Below are 19,094 nucleotides of genomic sequence, written 5' to 3' on the forward strand. Positions count from 1 at the left end.
TCAACCTAATATTCTACATTCAGTACTTTAAAACTGTTGTGCCATTTCATTCTAGCCTGCCTGTTTTCTGATAAGAATTCCACTATCTTTCAAATCATCCTTCCCCTATGATAATAAACCTGTCAGGCTTTAAGATTTGTATTATGTTATTATTGTTCAGCAGTTTGAACATGGATTTCTTTTAATTTGTTCTAAACGGAGTTGGCTCATCTTGAATCTGTAGATTTATGTATTTCATTAAACTTTTGAATGTTTTCAGCTGTTACATAATTATAGAAGAAATCCATTAACAATAGCAACAAAGAAGATGAAATAGTTAAAAAAACAAATTAACAAGAAATGTGTGAAGCTAAAAGAAGAAAAATATTAAAACACAACTGAAAAACACAAAAGTAGTCTCAAACAAATGTAGATATCCCCATTCATAGAATGATTCAAGATTTTAAAGATGCAGCTCTCCTTAACTTATAAAATCATGTAATCTCAATAAACATACCAATGAAAATTTTTATTAGCTAGAGAAGTTGCTACTAATATTCATGAGGAACAATAAATATACATGAATAGCTGGGAACATACTGAAAAAACAAGAAAAACTACAAGGAAGTTTAGCCCTAATAATCATTAAAATATACTATAAAACCTGTAATAAATGCCATACTAGGATATACATATACTAAACCCTTAGTATAGCATATACAACGAGAAACAGATACCTATATATATAAATTAAGTATATTATAAAGAAGGCATTTCAAATCACTAAGGAAAAGATAAATTTTAAAATACATGATGATGGTAAAACTGAGTTCCCATTTGAAAAATGATAAAATTAGATCCATATCTCACAAAATAACAGGAATAAACAACAACTATATGAATGAGCTAAATGTAAAAATAAAATCTTACAAGGATTAGAAGGCTACATGAGTGAATTCCTCTTTAAACATGGTACAGGCATACCTCAGTGATACCGTAAGTTCAGTTACAGACCACTGCAATAAAGTGAGTCAGACAAATTTTTTTTAAATTTTTTAACTTTTAATTTTTGTGGGTACAGAGTAGGTGTACAGTCAAATTATGAGGTTACTCAGTGCATATAAAAGCTATGTTTACACTATACTATAGTCTATTGATTGTCAAATGGCATGTCTAAAAAATAATGTACATACCTTAATTTAAAAATACTTTATTGTTACAAAATGCTAACAACCATCTCAGCCTTCAGTGAGTCATAATCTTTCTGCTGTGATGATGATGGCTGCTGACTGCCCAGGGGAACAAGGGTTTGTTTTAGATTATGCAAATTTTCGATATCATGATTGTGTTATAAGTTAATATTATAATATTCCATTGTTGAGGCTCAGCAAATTATGCATTAAACTAGTAAATTTTGTTATATATAAAGTATACTTCAATAATGCTAACAAAAAAGAATTCCAGCTGTAAATAAAATGTTTTTAAAGTGTTGGGTTACCATCCTAATAAAAGAATGCAGAGAAGAGAAACCAAATCAAATTATATATGCTCTTACCAGATTAATTAACTGAGTGTGTACCACATCTTCTACCAAAACTGCTGTTTCATGAAGAGGCCTTCTAGCATCACCTAAAGAATACCTGCAAAATAATTTTAAACACACCAATATTAAGGACTATAAAACTAAGAAAGGCAAAAAGTGAAACATTTATTACATGAATCAGTTTAGTAAGGAGAACATAAATTGTTTGCCCAAATGTCTGAATGGGTGTGCAATTTTCTTGGCCAGGTGTGGTGGCTCACGCCTTTAATCTCAGCACTTTGGGAGGCCGGAGCGGGAGGATCACTTGAGCCCAAGAGTTCATGACCAGCCTGCATAACATGGTGAAACTCCGCCTCTACAATAAATACAAAAATTAGCCGGAAGCAGTGGCATGTGCCTATAGTCCCAGCTACTTGGGAGGCTGAGGTGGGGGGATGGCTTGAGCCCAGGAGGCAGAAGTTGCAGTGAGCCAAGATCATGCCACCATACTCCATCATGGGCAATGGAGTCAGACCCTGTTTTAAAAAAAGACAAAAGAAAATAAAAGAAAGTCTTTCCCACACAAGTTGCAACTTCAAAAGAAAAGTGCAGTGTTATCTATGCTATTTCTGGATTCGTACAGTTTTTATTTTTTTTATTTTTTTTGAGACAGAGTCTCACCCTGTTGCCCAGGCTGTAGTGCAGTGGCACAATCTCGGCTCACTGCAACCTCCGCCTCCCGGGTTCAAGCAATTCTCCTACCACGACCTCTAGAGTAGCTGGGACTACAGGCGCGTGCCACCACACCTGGCTAATTTTTTATTTTTAGTAGATACAGGGTTTCACCATGTTAGCCAGGCTGGTCTCGAACTCCTGACCTCAGGTGATCCACCCACCTTGGCCTCCCAAAGTCCTGGGATTACAGGCATGAGTCACCACGCCCGCCTTGTACAGTATTTTTTAAAGGGAATTTATTGTTTCAAAATGCAAAATACTAACAACTACTTCACAATACTGGCAACCAGCAAATCATGTAACCACATCCCAATTACCAATGTAAGAGCCACATAGAAAGGTATAAAAGTGTATGATGTAATCAGCTTTGAAAGTTGGTAAGAAAAATTTATGTAAATACCATTGAATATGACTTGGAATTATATAGAAGCAGATTTTCAAGAATGGATTAAAAAGGCTGGCCTTAGAATTCCTCTTCTTAAAACTTAAAAGTAGACTGGATGTGCAAAGAATACCTTCTTGGTAAAGAACACTTGAAAATGCACAATAATATATTTAAAGTATGCTTTAACCAGCAGTAGGGAAGACAAAACCAAAGTCAGACAAGATGAAAAAAAGAGTTCTATAATAGAGTACTGAACCTTCAAAATTTATTCTGAAGGCATCTACCTAATCACAGTAACCTACAGTCTATACCGAACTAGTAGAGAATTCAAGGTATAGAAAAGAATGTGGGGACAAGAAAGGTAGGAAATCAGTTTGAGAATCCAATATAACATTGAGAAACCTAACATAAAATGATGGTGACACCCTCAATGTGTGAACTAGGAAAATACCCATTCCAGAGAATGCACTTTGCCTACCTCACCCGAAGCTTTGAGTAGGAGAGGAAAAAAATCTTCCCTAAGAATTGTTAACTATAAATTCACTTCCATGGTGCTAGAGTATCTGCTACCCATATAGCCTTAAAAAAAGGCCAAGCATTAATTTAAAGTGATTTATATTGATAGTGCCCACAGGTACCTTGTAGAAACAAATGCAATTCATTTGTTGAAGAACATATTTCGAACAAATAACTGAAAGAATTCCCATGGATGACATATCAAGGACCATAAATTCAAAATCAAAATTCACTACATGTACCAGGAATCAAGTCATCAAGAATGAGAGTGAGCAGGACCAACAAACTGCAGAATCAGACCTACAGCCTATACATACCTGAATAAATAAGTATCTATTAACTATAGTAATTTATGTTTTTTTAAAAGAGAAATGAGAAGTATATGTAGGACAACAAAAATCTTACCAAATGCTTAGTCATTTTTGAAAAAGTACTAAACAGAAATAGAAATGAAAAATATAATAGCATTTAAAAAGTTAATGGAGAAAAGTTATCAATCTGATAAAGACCATATATGAAAAACTCACAGCTACTATCCAACTTAATGGTGAAACACTAAAAACTTTTCCCCTAAGATAAGCATTAACACAATGTCCAATTTTGTCACTTCTATTCAACACAATACTGTAAATTCCAGGCAAAGCAATTAGGTAAGAAAAAGAAATAGGCCAGGCACAGTGGCTCATACCCGTAATCCTAGCACTACTTTGGGAGGCCAAGGCTGGCGGATTGCATGAGCTCAGGAGTTTGAGACCAGCCTGGGCAACACAGTGAAACCCTGTTTCTACTAAAATACAAAAGAAATTAGCCAGGCATGGCGGCATGCACCTGTAGTCAAGGACTATAATTGTCATGATTAGTTCCTCCTTGTTTTGATATGTGTGTGTATGTGTGCATGCATGTGCATGTATCTTATATGTATGTGTGTATCTCCTTTATAAAATCCTATTGCTTGTATTTTTTCTAGAGAACTTTGACTAACATAGCCAGGAAAGGAATAGCTCAATATTGAATAAATATATTAATATAACTACATTAATTTAGAAAATGAAAAAAGAAAACCTACATAATCATTTCAACAGATGTAAGAAAACCACTCATCAAAATCCAGCAACCACTCATGACATAAACCTTTAGTAAGCTAGCACCACAAGGAACTTTCTCTAATTTGATAAAGTGAATCTGCTAAGACCCTACAGGAAACCACATACACAGAAGCATTTAAACCCTTTAAGAACCAGATCAATATAAGGATAACTATTATCACCACTTTCAGTCAATATAATATTTAAGATTATAGTCAGAACAATAAAACAAGAAAAAACTAAAACTATAAAAGTATTGGAAAAGAGAAAACTACACGGTCCTTATATGCAGATAATATGAGTATCTACATAGAAAACCAAAAATCAAGAAACAAATTATTTGAATTAATAAGTTAGCAAGTTTCTGGCTATAAGATCAATCTACAAAAAATCATCATTAACATAAAGGTAGAAGATGCAATTAAAAGTAAATATAAATTGGTTCTAAACATTATATGAGATGGTAAAGAGACAGGAATAGTCAAAACACTTTTGAAGTATAAGATGGGAGAGTATTTTCTACAGGACTTAATATAAAGCTACAATCATTAAGATAGTATGTTATTTGGTGCAAACAACCAATAGAACAAAAAGAGAATAAAAAGTCCACAATAAAAAGCAAACTCCACAAAGGCAAAAATCTTTTGTTGTATTCACTGATATATGCATTATTTAATTCGTTGGAATACTTGAATAAGGTTTTCCTTCCATTATTCTAAGTTACTTCGAATGTCACTGTTAAAAAAAAAGTGCAAAGTTATCAACGCTAAATAATTGGCTTAACCATAAAACTACAAATTCAATTGACATCTATAGTAAAAAAATTAAAAATACTTCTTGTATCAATAAAAGACACAAATTGCCTAAGCTTTTATGAGAAAGTTAGATCTTTGTACTAAAAACAGTTTTCATGAGCATACACTGTAAAGTAAGTACCTAAATTAGTTACAATGACTGGTATCAGGTGTATCATTTGATGAGTATATTATTTTAATTTTCAGGGTTATTGGTACTTCAGTTTTTCTCCAACAGCTTTTATAAATAACTTCTGTCATTTTTCCCCTCATACACAGAAAACTAGATATTGTTCTAGTCGTTTTTGGAAAACAGAAATGAAAACTGCTGTACCTGGCCACAGTCACTTCCTTTTTTGCTCTGCAATGTATGTACTACTTGTAAGCCACTTAAAGACAGACAAGTAATTGATACTTATACAACTATTTTGATTTTTTTCCCCTTTGAAGACCTATCTCCCAGTGCTCTGATGTCTTGACTGACTTATCCTGGGTCTTGTCCTAATCAATAGATTCTGATACCCTATTCATTTACATACTGTCTTGATGCCTGTGACAATACCAGTACTGCCTGACTACCGTCCACTAAAGGTCTTTCAGGAAACCTTCTGAAAAGGCTGCCCCTCTCCTGGTCTCCTGCAGCAGTCTCGTTGCTATAACACACAACCCTCCATTTTAGGAAGGACTGTGACTCTGACAGCCATGATTATAACTAAGGCCAGAGCAACTTAATAATGATTGGGGCGGAGCAACTTACACCCTATCTTCTCATGCAAACAGTATTGGCTTTATTCAATCCTGGGATGAAATGTCTCACTTCAACCTAGGGCAACTGACTCTGCAATCCGCTTGACAGGTGCACAGTGAAAGTATGAAACAAACAAGGGCATTCATGAGATGAAGTTAAACTTTTTATTCTGTATACTTATACTGGGATCCAGGAGGATGAATGCTGAACAAAACCATTGGATACTGTTTTAAAAAGACAGCAGAATTTATGACTAACACTTTTAACATTTTTGCGCTATGTATAGCCCAATACTATCTAAAATTAGGGGAGATCCTTCAAATAGACATCTATTAAAATATACAATAAACGTCTAGTCATTTTGCTCTCAAAAAACAACAGAACCCCTTTTCAGTGCTTTCTAACATCAGCTTTTTTTAAAAAAAAAAAAGGAGAAAGATTTCTTAAAAATGAAGGAGCTTTACTATCTTATGTTGAATCCACATGTGACATCTTTGGTTAGTAATCTATGCCAAGATGCTACCCAAATATAGCAATACTCTTTTAATCTCTCTATAAATTCTAAAGCATCATTTCATTTGCTAAAATCTTTTGCTAACCTCTGGACCCTATGTAAATGCATGTATTTGATGATGTATCAATTGACCTATTCTCCTCACATCTACATATCCCCAGCTGTGAAAGGCAGTCAACTCCAAACTCTTTTAATGGCATAAACTGTAAGGGGAAAATAAATACTTTTTGAGAAAGTATATGTAATGTGTGTACATATGTGTGTGTGTATTTCTTTTCAAGTTATACAAATTAATATAATAACAAAACAGCATAAAATAAACACAAAAGAGAAATATCAAAGGAGGTAAGAAATAAAACAAACGATACTTTTTTTTTTTTTTTTTGAGACAGAGTCTCACTCTGTCACCCAGGCTGGAGTGCAGTGGCGCGACCTTCGCTCACTGCAACCTCCACCTCCCGGCTTCAAGCAACTGTCCTGCCTCAGCCTCCTGAGTAGCTGGGATTACAGGCGCCCGCCACCATGCCCAGCTAGTTTTTGTATTTTTAGTAGAGACAGGGTTTCACCATGTTGGCCAGGCTGGTCTCGAACTCCTGACCTCGTGATCTGCCCACCTCAGCCTCCCAAAGTGCTATGATTATAGGCTTGATCCACTGCCCCCAGCCAAAATGGTATTTTTAAAAATATATTTTATTTATTGGTGTTAGAAAATCTTTTTGCATTCACTAACATATATACATTATTGTTATCAGCATGACCAATCACCCTAGTTTGCCTGGGATTGAGGGGTTTTCCAAAGTGTTCCCTACCAAGTAAATCAGTCTAATTAGTACTAGAAGGTCATGGCATACATTCCCCCCTCCCTCCCCCCCGCAAAAAAAACAAGCAAGAAAACAGTTTCATTTGTTAAGGGAATGAATTAACAATAAATAAAACTTGTATTTTTCCTTTCAAACAATTACCCTTATTATTTCAGTTCTAAAGTCTCAAAACAGAAACAAATAGCATATGGGAAATTTATTCCTTCATCTGAAGATAATGCTTTTCTATTCTCTGATGTTGAGGATGAAGTTCATGAGAGTCAGTGGATGAGTAGGTGCCCAGCTGACATCTCACTGTAGTCACGGCCCCCCCACCCCCACTCAGGGAAAGAAATAGCACCAAACTAAATGACCAGCCAGAGATTTGAGCTCAGAAAAATGGATGAAGTTCACAGGGCTTGTATCCAACTAAAAAGATTACAATAATGCTGCTAGAAGTCATACTATATTCTGGCCGTCAGCTACAAAGTAGGAAAAGTCAGTAACCATGAAAATATCCTGGAAGTTAGAGGATCTGGTTCTAGTTCCCACTATGCTATTAAGAAGTACTGCAATGAGCAGGTAACTTCTCCTGGCACCTCAGTTTCTCAGCAGTAAAAGGAGGGGACTAGATTAGATAATTTTAAAGAAACCTTTTCAGAAACTTTATTTTGAATCAAATATATCTGATTCAACTATAATTCGTAAATCTTAAAGACTGTCTTCAAGAATGGGGCAACACTGTTATGAGAAAATCAAATTGCACAGAGTAAACTGTGGGAAAATCATGAAATTAAGAAAAAGAAAAACATGTTAAAAATGAGTAACAGAACGAAATAAATAAATAAAAATAATTAGAGGAAGGAAAAGAAAGCTATAGTTTATCCCTGGCCTTATATGTGGAAATAATTTCTAAGAAACATGTCATTGTTCCTTAAATTTAAAAAAAAAGGTGGGGGGTGTTGAACATATTATCACGGAATTTTACATTATTCTTTTTCAATTAAAAGAATTTAACAGGCCTAACTTTGAGTCTAAAATACTTGTTTTTAAATTTCCAAGCCCTGATTAAGAATAGAGGGGAAGGACTGATTAAGTTTCTAACAGAGGGGAAGGACTGATTAAGTTTCTAACAGAGGAGAAGGGCTGATTTAGAGGGGAAGTGCTGATTAAGTTTCTAACAGAGGGGAAGGGCTGATTAAGTTTTAATTAAAGAGATTCTGAAAAAGAAGCAAAGGGGATAAGTTTGGTGATGATCTGTGGACAGCCTGCTGGGCCAGTCACCAAGCATACAAGGCCTACAAGCAGATCTACTCATAAAGCATCTAGAAACCAAACATAAAGAAAGGATAAAGAGATGTTTCTTTACTGCCATGTGTACATCTTCTTGGATGCTGAGTTGCTTTCAATACTTCCCACTGGCTACAGACTCTAATGTGGTTAAATCATTCTGGATACTCTGGTTAAGTAATTGCTGTGGTCTTGGGAGCTAGTCACTTTTTTTTTTTTTTTTAATTAGTTCTGGTTTTTTTGGATGTTTTCCTACCCCAGGTAATTGACATTACTTTAGAATGGACACTGTGTGACTATTGCTTGGTTTAAGAAGGCTCTGGGTAACTTGCTGTCCCCAAAAGAAAGGTTTTTTTTTTTTCCGTTCAAAGCATTTTTTGATTACACTTTTATAGACTAGGTATTACTATAATACCCAAGAATTTCTCCTAAATGGAATTAGAGTGAATACCAGGCTACAGCCCTACCATACACTTTAGTCAGCTAAACTAGTACTAGATGATGTATGTGAACACAGACATCATACTGTTGTTTATGTCATTCTTACCCAATATCTGTTGACACTGATTTGTCCACTATCCAAAGTGGGGAATAAAAGTGCAGAAGTTTGGCCGTGATCAGTCATTTAATGCAATTGGAAAGTTATAAACACTACAAATTAGCCTTGCTCTTCAAATTTTAACAGCTCTTTCACAAATCTATGATTTTACCCACCTGTTTTCAAAGGAAGAAATGAATTTTATTAACAATAGCTCTAAGAAACCCCAAGTGATAGGTAAATCAAAATATCAAATAAGGCTGGGCGTGGTGGCTCAACCCCAGCACTTTGGGAGGCCAAGGTGGGTAGATCACCTGAGGTCAGGAGTTCCAGACCAGACTGGCCAACATGGTGAAACCCCATCTCTACTAAAAATACAAAATTAGCTAGGCATGGCATGGTGGCGCATGCCTGTAACCCCAGCTACTTGGGAGGTTGAGGCAGGAGAGTCGCCTGAGCCTGGGAGGCAGAGGTTGCGGTGAGCCGAGATTGAGCCATTGCACTCCAGCCTGGGCGACAGAGCAAGACTCCATCAAAAAAAAAAAAAAAAAAAATCAAATAAACATCTAAGACAACAGATTTCCTAGCAGTGATGATTTTTCTCATTGCTTGCTTGATTTCTCAACAACCATTTCCCCATTCCCCTTCTGATAGTAAACATTCATATAATTTAACTGAACTTTGAGAAAACTTTTAGAATTTTACAAAACACCATGAAATAAATATAAATATGTGAAGATATATAAAAAGCAAAATTAAATTATTTATGATATAAAATAAATAATGCTGACGTAAAAAAATACAAATATACTAATATACATATATGTTTAAAATAAAAGATAAAACAGTATAAAATTTTGAAAAGGTAAACACATAATACCTACAAGTATTAATCACTCAATCAACAAATATTGACTGATTGCCTGGTATGTGCCAGGCACTGTTCTGGTTCCTTGGAACATATCAGTGAACAAAACAGACAAAAAAATGAGTCAAGTTTACATTCCGATGAGGAAAGGACAATAAACAATATAACTAATGAATTACTAAATAAATAATTTGTATGTTAGAAAGATGAGAGAAAAAAACTTAGAACAGAATCACGAAATGTATGCAATGGGCAGTGTGAAATATTAAAACATGTATTTATTAAGATCTGATGTGTGAAAGAAATAGCTTTAAATAGAAAAAATATATAAATCAGAAAATTTTTTTAAAAATCAAGATTTACATAAGAAAGCTCATCCATAAATATTTATAAGAAAGCTCATAAAATAAAACTCATCTACAGTGCATGAAAATGTGCATCTGAGAAAGTTTACAAAACTAGCAGAATATCTTTATGAATTTCTTCTAACAATTTACAGGGCATTTTTCCTCATATATCCTACATTTCTAAGAAGCAAATATTCCCATCTTCAAACTCTTAATAGATAGCAGCATAAAGCAAATTATTATAAACCGTCCCTATTTGAGGAACAGGAAAGATCTATATAGCAATCATTGAATGTTAGGTCAAAAAATAATCTAAAAGATTACGTAGTCCTTTCATTCAGTTTTAAACAGATGAAAAATGAAAGCCCAAGAGGTTAAATAGCCATCTCAAGGTCATAAGTCCAGTTAGAAGTAAAACTAGGACTTTTACCTCATCCAGAACTCATTGTACAACAACACGCTAAATGAACATCTATTAAGCCTCCAAAACATTTAATGGACTTTACTATCTTAGATTGACTGAAATTTAGTCAAAAAACTAACTTCCTATAACATTGAAAACAGATACACTGTAATCACAATAACACCTCATAGTCATAGAGGACTTTTCTCACCTATCATTTAAAGCAAACTGTAAAGCATGCAAACAGGAAAGTTTCTCCCATGTTACATAAACATGGAATCAGAGAGAGTCAAGAAAGTTAAGACATTTACCCGGGGAGTCAGCAACAGTAAGCGTCAAGATTACTTGGTATGAGATAGTCACAGAGATAAGAGAATTTTGTACCATCAGATCTTTAGAAAATTATCAATATAAAATGGATATAAATATGGCATACTGCAACAACATTTTTCAGATTGACAGTGTCCAGAAGAAAAAGTATTTTGTAGTTAAATGAGCTTGGAAAATGACATATTTTATTCTTTTCTAGATTTGCAATACATGTTACCATACTAAACACTCTGAGAGGTTCTGAAGAAAAGAAACTCTTGATTTTAAACGTATTTACTGTGTATATAATCCTTTTCTAAGCCCATGGAGTTACATAGCATTGAAAAAAAATTAGGAAACACTGATTTAAACAAACAAACAAAACAACTTCCAAAATAACTTAAGGACTTTAGTGAGAGGATTCCAAATAAAATGCAACCTAAGATTTTAGAACTCCAAAGCCAAGTTCTTCAGTTTCTAACAATGACATGATGATGGTGGTGATAATGGCAAACATTGTGAGCTTTTTAAAAATGCACTTACATTCAACGAATATTTATTGAATACTGGGTCTACATCATGTCAGGCACTGAATATTATACTAGCTGAGAATTTTCAAAGTTCCCACAAACTTAAAGACATGACTGATTTTCTGTAGCCATGGCAATAAACAGCCACCAGAACCAGGAACAGACTCATTCCAGTAAACACACCCTTGAGTGCCAACCAATCAACAACATTCTCATCTCTCTTATTATAGATTATGTCAACTCCAGAACACGACCAATCCCTGAACTCAATGCTTCCTGAAAACCCAAAAGATCAGCAGCCTTCCTTGCTAACAAACTGTGCTTGACCGGCATGTATCTCTCCTTTATGATAAGAAGAAATAAATCAAGTTTTCTGTTTTTATTTCAGATACTGAATGACAGGCTCGTTATTTTTCACAGCATTTAAGGAAGTTTGCCCTCACAAACTAGTCAGCCTAGCCTCCCTTCCTCTCCTTCTTCTCACATTTTATTTTGAAAGATTCCTAACCAACAGAAAAGCTGAAATAACAGTGGAATGAACACCTGTAAATCCTTCACCTAGAATCACCAATTATTAACATTTTAGCACAACTGCGCACGTTTCTCTCTCTCTCTTAAAAATTATACACACATACACTTGTATCTTTATCTGTATTAATTTTTCTTTAAACAGTAAGCATGTATTAAGTGCCAGGTATATTTATATATGTCATTTAAACCTCTTAAAGACCCTGCAACACACTATCACTATGCCTGTCCCTCTGCATCTTGGAGAGATATTTGTTCCAGTAAGTGAAATTCTGGGTTTTTAAAAATTAATTTCCATATGCTGGGATTAGCTTTGTCCCCTGGAACTGATGAAATGACAAATCCTTTTACATGACAGGTCTTCAAAAGTATGAAGAAAGCTTACTTTAAAGGTCTGGTTTTGTTTTGTTTTTGCTAAACAGCATCTGTTTTAAACAGCTTTATTGAGATATCATTTACATACCATAAAATCCAGTTGTTTAAAAGTGTACAATTCAATAACTTTTAGTAAATTTACAGGGTTTTACCATCATCACCACAATCTAGTTTCAGAACATTTCCATCATTCCAAAACAATGTCTCATGCCCATTTACAGTCAGTCCTATTTCCCATCCTCAGCCAAAGACAACCACTAATCTACTTGAAGAAACCATACATCCTCTCTAGGCTTCTTCAAGGTTAAAGACTTCCTATTTCTTATCATTTTGGTCTCAATGTAAATAGCATATCTTTGAAAAGACTTTCCAAAACTACTACCACTTTCAATTCTCACTTGAATCAGAGTAGTTTGGCATTTATTTGATTTATATATTTAGGTCCTACCCAAGTTTTCATTAAAAAAAAAGTTATAAAACTTTTAGTAAACAAACCAAAGGAATGCAAACCTCTAAGTGTTGAACAAGTCATAGGCCAATTATAAAGCCCTGTAGCAAAGAGATATCCTTGAAACAACAGATCCAATAATCAACACTTTGTGGGCTGGGAAGAGTTGATCCAGGTTTCAAGCTGTCTTTGTCTGAAATATAACTCTCCATCTCATCCAGCAGAACATCAGCACAGATGACATCAAACATCTCATTTAAATTTTTACTCTAAAACTGTGACATTACCTTAATGAAAGTAAAATTATTTTATACTGATATCAATTGTGAGCTCATGCAAGTTCCTAATAATTATAGATTCCAAAATTTTTCTTGAGATTGATGTCAAGTTCATCAGGGTATAATGACTAGAATCTCCTTCACCCAACATTTTAAAAAATGAAGCAAACTCATGCCAAAATTACAACTTTATTACACTTCCTTACAAAGCATTCTAGAAAAACCACCTGGCAATAATTAATACCACTATTGTACATAATCTAATTTGTCACCAAAAACAATGGCTTTGCTCTCAGAATATGAATAAAACTATAAATTAAAAAATATGGAAATAATGCAACTTGAAAATTAATTGTGTAAATATCTGTGACTGCCAGTAGGAGAACACATAATATATTCCAGTTGTACTACATAATATATTCCATTAGTTTCTTCACAAAGGGCTTTCGCTTGAATCAGGAAGTATATAAGACAATTGTCTTATAGTGATCAGTCACTTTTAAGAACATTAAGAAAAAGTTCATCTCTAGTCTCAACAATACTGTATTCCTCAAATAAAAATGAAATTTAGTATGCCCAGAAGAAATGTGTTTTCAGTTTGTTCTCTAGAACATGGATAAAAAAGTGATGACATGAGAAAGACATTAAGACACAACTCTACTGAGAATAAACACATAGCATACATTAAATGATCTTTTACTTTAGTATAAAGTCTATAACTTAAAAATTTGGCATGCATAAATAATAACCCTTTATAGATATTTATATACACTATTAACACTGAAACTCATATTAACCTTTAAATTTTACTATGAAAAGATCAGTATGTACTTGTAGAAGCTTACAATGAACATATAAAGTCTTTAAGTATACTGAAAATATTAGTGAAAACATACATCTCTGTATCTACCTACTACCACCCTGTACACGATTAAGATCTTCATAGGTACAAGCTCTGTGGTAGCAAATAAAAATATTAATAGGCAATACCAGGCAATTAATTATTTATAATAGTTAATATCAATAAAACAGTAATTAAGACCCTAGCTTAGAGCCTTCACAGAATCCTACAACTTTCAAACTCCTCTGTTTATTATATAAAAGTCTTTGACATCTGGCTTCTCTCTGGTTCCACCCTTATTTCTAGCCATGCACCATTTGTTCCTAAAATATCAAACTCCCTATGGACAGCTGACCACACAATAGGTTTCAGGTCTTCTCACTTTTGTACATGATATTTTCTCTGTCAAATAAGTCTTTGTTTCTTCTTCCATTCAGCCAATGCCTTCCAAACTTAGTTCGAGGGGTACGACCCTTGGGAAATTTTCCATAATACTCATTTGCTGCTCTAAGGCATATTGCACTGATTGCCCTAACTCACCTTTCACCTCATATTATATTCATTCCCATTGCCAAGTAACTTTAAGTAGCCCTGCACTATAACCCTGAGCTCAACCCTGTTATGTTCTTTGGCCAATGGGATATTATTAGCAGCAGAGGCTAAGAAGTGCTTAAGCATTTCAACTTGCACTCTTGCACTCTGCCACTGCCATGAAAGTATGACAAGGCTAATCTGCTGGAAAATTAGAGATACATGAAGCAGAGCTCAGTCACCCCAGTTATCGTAGTTGAGTTATCATAGATCAGCTGGCAGTCAGCTGACCCTCAGATAGATAACAGAGCACAGCTGAGATTGGTGGGGTTGTCTAATCTACTGTCATAGACATATAATCATAAATGCTGAGGTTTCACAATGTTTTGTTATGCAGCATTATTGTGGCAATAAATAACAAATCCCACTCCTAGATGCTTCCATAGCACTCTTCACAACCTCCTCATAGTATAGTTACATAGTTGTATAGTTATGTAGTTACATAGTCATACTTTTACATGAACTAATTTGTCTCTATTCTCCCCTATGCATTTAGAGGAAAATAATCACCTGTTATTTAAATTTGTATTCTGAGCACCTAAGAAGATGCCAGTTGTATGTGGGCACTCAATGTATGTCTAGGGAAGAGAAGGTATGAGGACGGATTCACCTCCCAACTGATTCCACTATTATCTCAGACCACAAGGAGCCTTCCCTATGTTGTGAAAGTTCAGTGGGCACACAAACTAGATACTGTTAGAGCAGATTAAAACCTTAAGCATATAGGCTTTAATATATGCTTATTATATGTATATAGCTGCCTGTTGGATGAGCACAGATGGCCACAAATTCATGTGATTTGTGGGCATAATGTTAACAGGAAAGAGTCAATAATTGCAGCACTTTGGACCAAATAAAGAGTGGAATTAGGTTATGCAGTAAAAGATGCCAGGGCAGAGAATCAAAGGGTGTATTCCTAGAAAACTTAAGATTTTCACATGTAGAAGGAAAAATGTTTGAAATTTCATTAAACTTGGTATGCATTTGGGGCCAAGTAAAAAATATTCAAAAAGGAACCAGATTAATGATTTATTTTTTTTAAAGGCAGCAAATACTTTTAAAAAAGAAAAGGAAAAAAATGAGTCTGAAAATATATACAATTTAGAATCTGTTTAATAATGATAGTTATGACAAAATGACAATGAGTCGATTATATCCATAATACATACTGAGGATTTACTGTTTGCTAGACACCACTGAACTGATTCAAATGTCAAAATGACTCTAAAAGGTAAGTACTATTACTATTGCTACTTCAAGACTTGAAGAGGTTAACTAAATTACCCAAGTAACATAGTTAATAAGTGGCAGAAACGAGATTCCAAATCCCATCAGTCTGACTGCAAACTAAAAAAAACAAAAAACAAACAAACAAAAACCCTCTAACTGCTCTATAATATTGTCTTTCATAGAAACTGAAGAGACTTCGGAAGTAATTTATTTCAGTTTCCACCACAATAAAGAAAATTTTAAAAGTGAAAAGACTATATAGGCTAGGCATGGTGGCTTCTGTTTATAATCCCAGGATTTTGGGAGGTCGAGGAGGGAGGGTCACTTGAGCACAAGAGTTTAAATCCAGTCTGGGTAACAGTGTGAGACCTTGTCTAAAAAAAAAAAAAAAAAAAAAAAAGACTATATAAGCATATATCCAAGTTAGGGTGACTGGAGTAGGATGATGATGATACTTTGATAAAATTGGAAATAACTTTTTGACAACCAGTGTGGTACATGCAGAAATGCAAACCAATATATAAATGCCACAATAGTTGAATTCAGAAGATTAAGAGGAAAACTAAAGAAGTTGAACAACAAATGATGTCTATATCAATAACCAAAAAAAGGAATCTATTAAAAGGCTGAACAAATTCTTCCAAGTCAAAAGCAAATAACTGGCTTCCTCTATTCATGCAAATAGCTGTTTGCCACATGAAATTTATCTTGCTTTTAGGTTTCAAGAATTAAGGGTAAATATTAAAGCTACAAACCTGGGGAACTCCATAGTGTCTTTATGCATAAATCACATAGAAATTTCTCAGGTTCTGAGATAAAGTTCAGGAATAATTGTACTAAACAATGCAAAAATTTCCCAAGGCTAAAATTTGAACAATATTAGAACAATAATATTAGAACAATAATAAGTATAGGTTAACTTCATCATACTATTAATAGATTATAATACAAATATTACACAGAGATTAAAATTGATACTTTGGAACAGGTTGATTATCTAGGTATGTAATTATTATTATATTCAGAGGGAAATATTCCTTGCAGCATAAAGACACCAATACCATTCATATACTGTTTCCAGAGAGTTTGATAAACAGAAAAATTCCACAAAAATCTTGGCCCAGAAACTCTCCACAACCAGGATCTCTGATTTCCATAACCTCTAGATCCTATAGGAGTAAAAATTAGAGCTTCTCTTATGGTGAACAAATTTCCTATCTCAAAGCCCTTGGAGAACGTCCCATTTTTTTCTAGAGAGAGAATGCTTGGGCAACTCTGAGAGGAAAGAAGGAAATTGTGATGCTCTGTATGTCCTGGGGACCAGAGGTTTCCAGGATTCAAACAAATGTAAACAATTTGACTTCCTGAGTATTGACAAGGAATTAGAATATTAGATTACTAAATCTGGGTTTTCTCAGTTGCAGGAGTTTCCCTTTCCCCCACATTCCAAAGATTTCAAAACCCTATGAAATTATGTGGGGGGGGGGGTGGATTATCTAAGTATATCTTTCACAGTTGAATGACTCAAAACAATATTTAACATTTTAAATTAACCTGTTCATAATGCAGTATTCAATTCTTCACTAAACTCACATAACTCATTTCTACTTATAGATTTTTTTTGGGTTTTTTTGTTTTTGTTTTTGTTTTTGAGACGAAGATTCGCTCTTGTTGCCTAGGCTGGAGTGCGGTGGCGTGATCTTGGCTCACTGCAATCTCCGCCTCCCAGCTTCAAACAATTCTCCTGCCTCAGTCTCCTGAGTAGCTGGGATTACAGGCACCCGCCACCACGCCCAGCTAATTTTTGTGTTTTTTTAGTAGAGACGGGGTTTCACCATGTTGGCCAGGCTGGTCTCAAACTCCTGACCTCATGATCCACCCGCCTCAGCCTCCCAAAGTGCTGGGATTACAGGCGTGAGCCACCGCACCTAGCCAGATGTGTTCTTTAAAACTCTGAGTAAAGAAAGTTAAGTGAAAGATATCTTTCATTTAAAAACAAAAAAAAAAGAAAAATTAAAAATGAACAAATTGTATTTTCTACATATATTAACTTTAAAAAAGAAAATGCAAAATTAATCTATTTACCATAACTATATTTTCACACAGGTGTCACCTTTATTACGCTGTAAAATGCTAGAGCCTACAATAATCTATTCCAGATATGGGGTTGGGGTTGGGAGCAAGGGTTTGGCAAGGGAGTGGAAAAGTAACAAGGCTGTCTGTAGCACTTTTAGTACATGTTATAAGAATAATCCATAACAAAAAAATATTGATTCAATTCAGTATAACTACTTAAATTTTCTTAAAATCACACATACTTTATATAGTTAAAACCCTAATAAAACCCTAATACACTTTCTCAAAAACTTAGGAATAATTTCACAGTACCTAAGGATTAAGAAAAAAGGTTTTTAAATAAAATATTGATGTTTAAAATGTCTCTTTAAGCTATTTGCTAGCAAAACAAAACAACAGACTTTGAAAGAATACTAAACCCACCATCATTAATTTTATTTTGGTAACTAACTTTATTCCAATGACTTCATAACAAAGTTAACCTTTAAGGATAAATCACCATATACACCATTAAAACACCAAAAATAGAAGACAGAATTGCTCCTACTTCCATGACATTTTGTTTCTAATTAAAAAAAAATTTTGGGAGTATTGTTGAAGAGAATTCATATTAGAAGATATATCAAATTAAACGAGAGGCACTTCATGTCTATTTTCTAAGTTTATATCATACTGAAAACTGTGCTTGCAGACCCCATGAACAAGAATAATCATCCACAAATTGCTAGACTCTTTCATTTTGGATTGTACACTGAAAATGAAAGGTGGACATTTAGAGTCTACATGTTCTATTTTCAGCTTCATCATTAACATGTTTGAGAACCTGGGGTAAATTTCTTTACAACAGGTAAATATTCTAATACCCTATTACTTAATGGAAGCTAGGTCCAAAAGCTGACACTTAAGTGGAATACTAAATAAATATAGTCCTATTTTCTTTATTGGGTTTTCTGATTTAAAATTCTACCACATATATACATAACCATCTTAATTTACATATAAACTTAATTCACTTTAACAATATTCACTGAACATCAACCAAGATGAAAGTCCTCTCCTGAAGGCTGAGGAATGCAAATGTAAACACCAAGTCCTTGTGAACTCCAAAATTAGTACATACCACACTGGTAAATGAGATACAAATAAGCACACATGAAACTCTCTTTCAGTCAGTCTAATTTAATTAAAATTCTACTATGACAATACAAAAATCATCAATTTTTTTAAGTGTGAATTTTAAATTGTATCATTTATTTCTTTTTTTTTTTTTTCCCCAGATAGGGTCTCGCTTTGTCACCCAGACTGGAGTGCAGTGGTGTGATCATGGCTCACTGAAGCCTCCACCCTCTGGTCTCAAGTGATCC

General features: G+C 34.2%; 1 protein-coding gene across 29 annotated transcripts in view; it reads right to left on the bottom strand.

The window, feature by feature from the left end:
- The window catches only part of SUPT3H (SPT3 homolog, SAGA and STAGA complex component), a 568,878-nt gene that overhangs the window by 295,331 nt on the left and 254,453 nt on the right, over positions 1–19,094 (bottom strand). For 27 of the 29 annotated variants that reach the window (NR_146632.2, NR_146634.2, NR_146633.1 and 24 more), the window contains one exon: positions 1,535–1,619. The exons of 1 other annotated variant lie outside the window; for it this stretch is intronic. Coding sequence is in view for 15 of the 28 variants with exons in the window: in NM_001350325.2 (NP_001337254.1) it covers positions 1,535–1,619 (85 nt within the window). In the remaining 13 variants the exon portion in view is untranslated. Of the gene's footprint in view, positions 1–1,534; positions 1,620–19,094 lie in introns of those variants that run through there. One more of the 29 variants, XM_017011374.3, reaches the window with a different exon arrangement.

Source organism: Homo sapiens, chromosome 6, assembly GCF_000001405.40.
Source record: "Homo sapiens chromosome 6, GRCh38.p14 Primary Assembly".
In the NCBI taxonomy this organism is placed as follows: domain Eukaryota; kingdom Metazoa; phylum Chordata; class Mammalia; order Primates; family Hominidae; genus Homo; species Homo sapiens.